A 10,779-nucleotide genomic window follows, 5' to 3' on the forward strand; every position below is an offset into this window, starting at 1 on the left:
CCATGAAATGAAGGAACACATTTTGAGAAATGCTCATAAGTCAATTTTAATTGGGGGCAATGAAGGAAATACAACACAATTTATGAAAAAGAGACAATCTTAAAATTCATACTGATAAAGACATTTTAACCATAAAATTTACCTATGAATAAACTTCATAGTCAGGAGGCAGCTCTAGCTTTGATAAATGCTAGCATTAAACTATTGAAAGCCTGGGCCCCACTGAGGCATGCTTTCTTTAGAAGGGAACAGTCTGTAACCTCAGCTATTACAGCCAAATTTGAGGGTGTGGAGGGAGATGTGTTTGATAGATTAAAATAGTAAACTGCAACAGAGAAAAGGGCTTCTGACCAATGAGGGAAAATCTTCCAGGAGACATGCGGACAGACCATCTTCTTCCTGCCCACATAACTCCCTACAGATTCACTTTAGATATGATCAAAAATTTTATTTTGTTTTGTTTTAAGTTTAGTTTAGAGCATGTATCCACATTGGAGGAAAACAAACATCCCAAATTTACCCCATTTGCTCCATTTGCACATGAGCAACAGAAAAAGTTTGAGTCAAAGATGAATGCAAATTGACAGAGGTCATGTGTGAAGTCAGAAATTATTTGTACTAGAGAATAATGTCCAAACAGGACTGATAACTTTATGGGCACACTGCCCCTGAGAGGTAGACATGGAGCCCGATGCCTGCAGAGGGATGTTCACAGGTCTCTTGACTGCTTAATACAACCATAAGTGGCTCTTGCCTTCTTCTGATTTGACCAAGGGGTGCTCTGTGGAGAATTAGGTAAACTGATTAGGTTAGCTGCCCTCTGTGGGTTGGGCATCAGGCACCCAGCCACCTACACTTTATTAACAGTTCTACAACCGATCTTGAGGCAGCCAGAACTGAGTACCACTGCTCAGTTCACACCCAGAAGATGCTTAATCTCTCTGGCAATGCAGAAAAAAGAAAGCAGGAAAAGACAAAAGGCCAAAAATAGCCAAAGCCAGAGGCACAAGATTCTTGCTTCTGTGGCAGACTCACCTGTCAGGTAGGAACTCCCTATGTGACTTGGTAATTGGTTGCAGGGGAGAACAGATCAGAGCTAGAGAGCTAGAGACTGAAACTGACTTTAAGTGAGACCAGTTTACAGAGTAGGGCTGACCATGGTGACGGTGAGCAGAGAGAAAACCAGAAGGCTTTTACAAGCCCCAAGAAAGTTTTTGTATAATAGTATAATACTATTCCTTGTAGCAAATTCACTGTAACCAAATGCCCAAAGACCAGTTTCTTAATGCCATGACATTTTAAGAAAAATATTTGTTTTGCAGAGTTCTTTGTTGCAACGTCTACCCGAAAGTTCCAACTGCATCTTCCCATCAGATAGCCACTAATAACACTAACATCTATTGGGCCTTCATCACATGCCAGGCAACATGCTAAACACTGTAAGTACAGTAGCTCATTTACTCTTCACCACAACCCAATGCAGTGAGTAAAGTTACTCTTCTTATACACAGAGAAAAGTGAAGGTTGGAGAAGTGACGTAACTTACTCAAAGGTACACTGCTAGCAAGCAAGCAATGGAGGCAGCATCAAGTTAGACCCTGTCTGACCAAAGTTCCTGCTCTTAACCACTGTGTCTGACTGCCAGGATAGATGAAGTTTAATTACCTGCTACACTATCCCCAGAGTATGCATCTGTGTTCCGAGCAGAGACCAGGCCGACCTCTCCATCTTTCCTGCTGTGAAAGGATGCTAGAACTAGGGACTCTCCTTATCCCACTGCTTCCTCAAGGCAGAATAGTGTTTCCCTGTGGGTCAAATATCTTCAGAACTTACACATTCTCAGATGACCCAGCTTTCATGTTTTCTTGGATTTGTAAGCAGGACCCTTACACAGCATCACATGAAGGGTATGTCTGAGAAACACCAGTTCATCCGTGGTGGATCCAGGTGTCATCTGCCAGGTGTCATCTGTCCTAGCTTTGTATCTGGTAGTGTTCATAGCTACACTGGTGATCAGCCTTGCTGCTCCCTCTACCAGGGTTCACTCTGTTGTGAATGGTGTGCTCTTTAACCTTCATATGTGGCATGTATCTGACTGACGAGGGAGCCTATTGTCTGTAGACATTGAACACAAGTATGTCTTATAATATAAGGAATAGTATATTCCTCTCTTCAATTGACTTTGGCCAAATAATTGCAACAATTTCTAGAACAGATTGTGAGTTTCATTCCAAACAGGTAAATTTTCATTTAATCAGTCCTGCTTAGTACAGCAATTTCCAGGTCTCCATGGTAGGCCATAGTTACAGCACTTTGCTGATCTGGTTTCCACACACACACAAAAAATCTATTAAAAGAAAATTCTTTAGAACAGATGTGTCGACAAATCCCTGTCCACAAAGCAGTCAAGCTATTTAACAAAAATGTTAGTTCAGTATTTGTTCTATTTGTTGTAACTGTATGAGTTTGCTGAGTCTCAGCGGGGGTGGATGGAGGAAGTAGGGGGGAGAACAGGGAAAGAAGCGTTAGCAGAGCCAGGTGAGGATGAAAGAAAGCAGCAATGGGGTGCCATAAGGGGGAGTCAAAGAGGGAGAGAAAGAGAAGACAGGGTGGGACAGTTGAAACCAAAGTTTCAGAGACAGTGCCAGAAAGCAGGAAAAAATATCCCATGACTTTCACCATTCTAGACAATGCTAATCCCAACAGTCTTTCCTCTGATGCAGCAATCTTAAATCATCTTCCACCTCATACCTTCTCCTCCCCCTCTCTTAGGAAGAGAAAGCACTGGATTTTCAAGCCTGATACCTCTGAGTTTTCTTTGACTCCTCTCTCTTTGTCATACCAGCATTGAGTCAACCACCAAGTTCCAACAACTCTTCCAATTTATTGTTGCTCAAATCTGTCCCTTTCTCCCCATTACTGTCATTAGCTCTCCAGCAGGCTTTTCCAGTCACCCCCTACTGCCCTCAGGCACACCCTCCTTCAATCCATTCTTTACTCAGCAGCCCAGAGAGTATTACTTAAAACCCAAAATATCACCTAATTGTATCCACACACAGTCTTTCTAATCCCACTCTTAATTCTTTCCTTCAGCACTCAACACCAACATGATGCTTAAATGCTCCCCCATGACATTCCAAATAAACTTCTAATTTTTTAAATGGCAGACAAAACCGTTTTATATTAGACTCTGTCTACACTTCCAGCTTCATCTTTTCTCCCATCACTCTTACCAGTCTCAATGTGTATTCCAGCCAGCATCCTTAGCCCCTGGGTATTTTCTATCCTTATAGCTTTGTACATGAAGAGCCCTCTACATAGATTGTACCAGCACCCTCACCAACTCCTCCTCCTGTCCACTCTTCAGTTCTTTTGCTCTGGTAGTGAAATTGGAAGCAAGGCAATTTTAGATCATTTTAATGCAGTTATTCCAGCTGAATAATTCCCCAGATATATAAAAAATTTTAGATAGATGATAGATAGATAGATAGATAGATAGATAGATAGAGACATAGATATAGATATAGAAGACAGATACCATGTACAGACATATGGCACAGATTGAGCAGACTCTCCCACCTGCCTCATCCCTGAGCTGCCACAATCCTTTGGACTTGCCTCTCTTAGAGCCATTGTCATTGTCTTTTGTCTTTGACAAGCCACAGTCTTTTAATCACCAGAAGTTTTTAATGTCTTCAGGCAATAACTCTTTCAGGACATTATCAACATCAGCTGAATGCTCCCCCACACAATAGCTATTGCTTCTTAAATGGAAAAAATTCTTACCCACACTAAAACTTTCAACGTTAAGAAATTATTATTTGCAAAGAGTGCATGCCAAAGCAAGGAGGGTAGAAAGTAAACTTTCCATACCCTTCAGTAATCAATTTTTACTTAAACACAATTTGAATTTAACAAAATCATCTAATCCCAAACAAGCAAAAGCTGAATGAACTCATCCCTACTAGACCAGCCTTATAAGAACTGCTCAAGGGATTTCTGCATCTGAAAGCAAAAAGATGATCATCATCATAAAAACAGGTAAAATGATAAAACTCACTTATAAAATAGAAATATAAAGGAGAAAGTAAAGAATCAAACCTTATCACTACAAAAAACTCACCAAACTACAATGATTAATAATGACAGAGGAAGAAAGGAACAAAGGATATAGAAAACAACCAGAAAACAATTAACAAAATGACAGGAGTAAGTCCTCATCTGTCAATAAACTTGAATATAAACAGATTAAATTTTCCACTTGAAGGATAGCTTTTAAGATAAATTCCCCACCAGCTGAATGAAAGATAACATGACACAACTATATGCTGCCTACAAGGAACTGACCTCACCTGTAAAGACACATGTACAATTGACCCTTGAACAACACAAAAGTTAGGGGCACCAACCCCCATGCAGTCAAAAATTCCCATATAATTTTTGACTCTAAAACACTTAACTACCAATAGCCTATTGTTGAGTGGAGGCCTTAATGATAACATAAACAGTCCGTTAAAACATATTTTATATGTTATATGTATTATATACTTAAAATGAAGTAAGCTAGAGAACAGAAAATTTTATTAAGGAAATAATGAGAGAAGAGAAGATATATTTACTGTCCATTAAGTAGAAGTGAATCATCATAAACATCTTTATCCTTGTCTTCACATTGAGTAGTCTTAACAGGAGGAAGAAGAGGAGAGATTGGTTTTGTTGCCTCAGAGGTGACAGAGCCATAAGTGGTAGAGAAGGTGGAAGAAGAGACAGGAGGGTTACAATCAGTGTAACTTTTACTGAAAAAAATATTGCATGTAAGTGAACCCATGTGGGTTCAAACCCGTTATTCAAGGGTCAACTGCATACTGAAAGTGGAGGGATGGAAAAAGACATTCCATGTCAACAGAAACCAAAAGCAAGCAAGAGTAGCTATACTTAAATCAGATAAAACAAACTTTAAGTCAAAAAGTGTAAAAAGAGATAAAGAAGGTTATTATATAATGATAAAGGGGTCCATCTGGCAAGAGGATACAACAATAATAAACATGTATGTACCCAACACCAGAGCACTCAGATATATAAAGCAAATACTATTTCATCTAAAGGGAGAGATAGACTGCAAAACAATAATAGTTGGGGACCCCACTCTCAGCATTAGACGGATCATCTAGACAGAAAATCAACAAGGAAACATTGAATTTAAACTTCTTTAGACCAAATGGTCCTAACAGACATTTACAGAACATTTTATCTAACAGCTGTAGAATGCACTTTTTTTTTCATCAGCACATGGAACATTCTCCAGGATAGAACACGTTAGGCCACAAGCCAAGTCTCAACTAATTTAAATGAATTGAAATTATATCAAATATATTTTCTGACCACAATGGAATAAAACTAAAAACCAATAATAAGAGGAACTTTTGAAAATGTACAAATACCTGGAAATTAAACAACATGTTCCTGAGTGACCAATAAGTCAGTAAGAAATTAGGAAGAAAATTTAAAAATGTCTCGAAACAAATAAAAATAGAAACACAACATACCAAAACCTAGGGGATACAGCAAAAGTAATAGTAAGAGAGAAGTTCACAGCAACAAACACCTACTTCAAAAATGTAGAAAGATTTCAAATAAGCATCCTAACGACGTATCTGAAGAAACTAGAAAAACAAGAACAAACCAAACTCAAAATTAGTGGAATGAAAGAAATAATAAAGATGCGAGCAGAAATAAATAAAACTAGGTCTAAAAAATATATAAAACAAGGAAGTGAAAAGTTTGTTTTCTGGAAAGACAAATAAAATTGACAAATCATTAGCTAGACTAACCAAGAAAAAGAAAAGACACAAATAAATAAAATAATAAATAAAGAAGGAGACATTACTATTGATACCACAGAAATACAAAGTCTCATTAGAGACTGTTATGAACAACTGTATGCCAACAAATTAGATACCTAATGAAAATGGTTAAATGCCCGGGCACATGTAACCTACCAACATTGAACCAAGAAGAAATAGAAAACCTGAATAGACCCATTGTGAGTAATGAGATTGAATTAGTAATAAAAAGTCTTCCATCAAAGAAAAGTCCAGGACCTGATGGCTTCACTGCTAAATTCTACCAAACATTTAAAGAATTATTACCGACACTAGGGGAGGAGCCAAGATGGCTGAATAGGAACAGCTCCGGTCTACAGCTCCCAGCGTGAGCGATGCAGAAGACGGGTGATTTCTGCATTTCCATCTGAGGTACCGGGTTCATCTCACTAGGGAGTGCCAGACAGTGGGCGCAGGCCAGTGGGTGCGTGCACCGTGTGCGAGCCGAAGCAGGGCGAGGCATTGCCTCACTTGGGAAGCGCAAGGGGTCAGGGAGTTCCCTTTCCGAGTCAAAGAAAGGGATGACGGACGCACCTGGAAAATTGGGTCACTCCCACCCGAATACTGCGCTTTTCCGACGGGCTTAAAAAATGGCGCACCACGAGATTATATCCACCACCTGGCTCGGAGGGTCCTATGCCCACGGAGTCTCGCTGATTGCTAGCACAGCAGTCTGAGATCAAACTGCAAGGTGGCAGCGAGGCTGGGGGAGGGGCGCCCGCCATTGCCCAGGCTTGCTTAGGTAAACAAAGCAGCCAGGAAGCTCGAACTGGGTGGAGCCCACCACAGCTCAAGGAGGCCTGCCTGCCTCTGTAGGCTCCACCTCTGGGGGCAGGGCACAGACAAACAAAAAGACAGCAGTAACCTCTGCAGACTTAAATGTTCCTGTCTGACAGCTTTGAAGAGAGCAGTGGTTCTCCCAGCACGCAGCTGGAGATCTGAGAACTGGCAGACGGCCTCCTCAAGTGGGTCCCTGACCCCTGACCCCCGAGCAGCCTAACTGGGAGGCAACCCCCAGCAGGGGCACACTGACACCTCACATGGCAGGGTATTCCAACAGACCTGCAGCTGAGGGTCCTGTCTGTTAGCAGGAAAACTAACAAACAGAAAGGACATCCACACCAAAAACCCATCTGTACATCACCATCATCAAAGACCAAAAGTAGATAAAACCACAAAGATGGGGAAAAAACAGAACAGAAAAACTGGAAACTCTAAAACGCAGAGCGCCTCTCCTCCTCCAAAGGAACGCAGTTCCTCACCAGCAACGGAACAAAGCTGGATGGAGAATGACTTTGACGAGCTGAGAGAAGAAGGCTTCAGACGATCAAATTACTCTGAGCTACGGGAGGACATTCAAACCAAAGGCAAAGAAGTTGAAAACTTTGAAAAAAATTTAGAAGAATGTATAACTAGAATAACCAATACAGAGAAGTGCTTAAAGGAGCTGATGGAGCTGAAAACTAAGGCTCGAGAACTACGTGAAGAATGCAGAAGCCTCAGGAGCCGATGAGATCAACCGGAAGAAAGGGTATCAGCAATGGAAGATGAAATGAATGAAATGAAGCGAGAAGGGAAGTTTAGAGAAAAAAGAATAAAAAGAAATGAGCAAAGCCTCCAAGAAATATGGGACTATGTGAAAAGACCAAATCTACTTCTGATTGGTGTACCTGAAAGTGATGGGGAGAATGGAACCAAGTTGGAAAACACTCTGCAGGATATTATCCAGAAGAACTTCCCCAATCTAGCAAGGCAGGCCAACGTTCAGATTCAGGAAATACAGAGAACGCCACAAAGATACTCCTCGAGAAGAGCAACTCCAAGACACATAATTGTCAGATTCATCAAAGTTGAAATGAAGGAAAAAATATTAAGGGCAGCCAGAGAGAAAGGTCGGGTTACCCTCAAAGGGAAGCCCATCAGACTAACAGCGGATCTCTTGGCAGAAACCCTACAAGCCAGAAGAGAGTGGGGGTCAATATTCAACATTCTCAAAGAAAAGAATTTTCAACCCAGAATTTCATATCCAGCCAAACTAAGCTTCATAAGTGAAGGAGAAATAAAATACTTCACAGACAAGCAAATGCTGAGAGATTTTGTCACCACCAGGCCTGCCCTAAAAGAGCTCCTCAAGGAAGCGCTAAACATGGAAAGGAACAACCGGTACCAGCCGCTGCAAAATCATGCCAAAATGTAAAGACCATCGAGACTAGGAAGAAACTGCATCAACTAACGAGCAAAATCACCAGCTAACATCATAATGACAGGATCAAATTCACACATAACAATATTAACTTTAAATGTAAATGGACTAAATGCTCCAATTAAAAGACACAGACTGGAAAATTGGATAAAGAGTCAAGACCCATCAGTGTGCTGTATTCAGGAAACCCATCTCACATGCAGAGACACACATAGGCTCAAAATAAAAGGATGGAGGAAGATCTATCAAGCAAATGGAAAACAAAAAAAGGCAGGGGTTGCAATCCTCGTCTCTGATAAAACAGACTTTAAACCAACAAAGATCAAGAGAGACAAAGAAGGCCATTACATAATGGTAAAGGGATCAATTCAACAAGAAGAGCTAACTATCCTAAATATATATGCACCCAATACAGGAGCACCCAGATTCATAAAGCAAGTCCTGAGTGACCTACAAAGAGACTTAGACTCCCACACATTAATAATGGGAGACTTTAACACCCCACTGTCAACATTAGACAGATCAACGAGACAGAAAGTCAACAAGGATACCCAGGAATTGAACTCAGCTCTGCACCAAGTGGACCTAATAGACATCTACAGGACTCTCCACCCCAAATCAACAGAATATACATTTTTTTCAGCACCACACCACACCTATTCCAAAATTGACCACATACTTGGAAGTAAAGCTCTCCTCAGCAAATGTAAAAGAACAGAAATTATAACAAACTATCTCTCAGACCACAGTGCAATCAAACTAGAACTTAGGATTAAGAATCTCACTCAAAGCCGCTCAACTACATGGAAACTGAACAACCTGCTCCTGAATGACTACTGGGTACATAACGAAATGAAGGCAGAAATAAAGATGTTCTTTGAAACCAATGAGAACAAAGACACAACATATCAGAATCTCTGGGATGCATTCAAAGCAGTGTGTAGAGGGAAATTTATAGCACTAAATGCCCACAAGAGAAAGCAGGAAAGATCCAAAATTGACACCCTAACATCACAATTAAAAGAACTAGAAAAGCAAGAGCAAACACATTCAAAAGCTAGCAGAAGGCAAGAAATAACTAAAATCAGAGCAGAACTGAAGGAAATAGAGACACAAAAAACCCTTCAAAAAATCAATGAATCCAGGAGCTGGTTTTTTGAAAGGATGAACAAAATTGATAGACCGCTAGCAAGACTAATAAAGAAAAAAAGAGAGAAGAATCAAATAGACAAAATAAAAAATGATAAAGGGGATATCACCACCGATCCCACAGAAATACAAACTACCATCAGAGAATACTACAAACACCTCTACGCAAATAAACTAGAAAATCTAGAAGAAATGGATAAATTCCTCGACACATACACTATCCCAAGACTAAAACAGGAAGAAGTTGAATCTCTGAATAGACCAATAACAGGAGCTGAAATTGTGGCAATAATCAATAATTTACCAACCAAAAAGAGTCCAGGACCAGATGGATTCACAGCTGAATTCTACCAGAGGTACAAGGAGGAACTGGTACCATTCCTTCTGAAACTATTCCAATCAATAGAAAAAGAAGGAATCCTCCCTAACTCATTTTATGAGGCCAGCATCATTCTGATACCAAAGCCAGGCAGAGACACAACCAAAAAAGAGAATTTTAGACCAATATCCTTGATGAACATTGATGCAAAAATCCTCAATAAAATACTGGCAAACCAAATCCAGCAGCACATCAAAAAGCTTATCCATCATGATCAAGTGGGCTTCATCCCTGGGATGCAAGGCTGGTTCAATATACGCAAATCAATGAATGTAATCCAGCATATAAACAGAGCCAAAGACAAAAACCACATGATTATCTCAATAGATGCAGAAAAAGCCTTTGACAAAATTCAACAACCCTTCATGCTAAAAACTCTCAATAAATTAGGTATTGATGGGACGTATTTCAAAATAATAAGAGCTATCTATGACAAACCCACAGCCAATATCATACTGAATGGACAAAAACTGGAAGCATTCCCTTTGAAAACTGGCACAAGACAGGGATGCCCTCTCTCACCACTCCTATTCAACATAGCGTTGGAAGTTCTGGCCAGGGCAATTAGGCAGGAGAAGGAAATAAAGGGTATTCAATTAGGAAAAGAGGAAGTCAAATTGTCCCTGTTTGCAGACGACATGATTGTATATCTAGAAAACCCCATCGTCTCAGCCCAAAATCTCCTTAAGCTGATAAGCAACTTCAGCAAAGTCTCAGGATACAAAATCAATGTACAAAAATCACAAGCATTCTTATACACCAACAACAGACAGAGAGCCAAATCATGAGTGAACTCCCATTCACAATCGCTTCAAAGAGAATAAAATACCTAGGAATCCAACTTACAAGGGATGTGAAGGACCTCTTCAAGGAGAACTACAAACCACTGCTCAAGGAAATAAAAGAGGATACAAACAAATGGAAGAACATTCCATGCTCATGGGTAGGAAGAATCAATATCGTGAAAATGGCCATACTGCCCAAGGTAATTTACAGATTCAATGCCATCCCTATCAAGCTACCAATGACTTTCTTCACAGAATTGGAAAAAACTACTTTAAAGTTCATATGGAACCAAAAAAGAGCCCGCATTGCCAAGTCAATCCTAACCCAAAAGAACAAAGCTGGAGGCATCACACTACCTGACTTCAAACTATACTACAAGG

The 10,779-nt window shown here is 40.2% G+C and overlaps 1 annotated feature.

Annotated features, from left to right (window-relative positions):
- Positions 6,449-7,089: an enhancer, noted in NCBI's record as "H3K27ac-H3K4me1 hESC enhancer chr2:148484865-148485505 (GRCh37/hg19 assembly coordinates)". NCBI's record gives its function as "activates a minimal SCP1, AML or CMV promoter by ChIP-STARR-seq in naive H9 embryonic stem cells {active_cell/tissue: H9 hESC(naive)}" and the evidence as "EXISTENCE:reporter gene assay evidence [ECO:0000049][PMID:30033119]".

Source organism: Homo sapiens, chromosome 2, assembly GCF_000001405.40.
Source record: "Homo sapiens chromosome 2, GRCh38.p14 Primary Assembly".
In the NCBI taxonomy this organism is placed as follows: domain Eukaryota; kingdom Metazoa; phylum Chordata; class Mammalia; order Primates; family Hominidae; genus Homo; species Homo sapiens.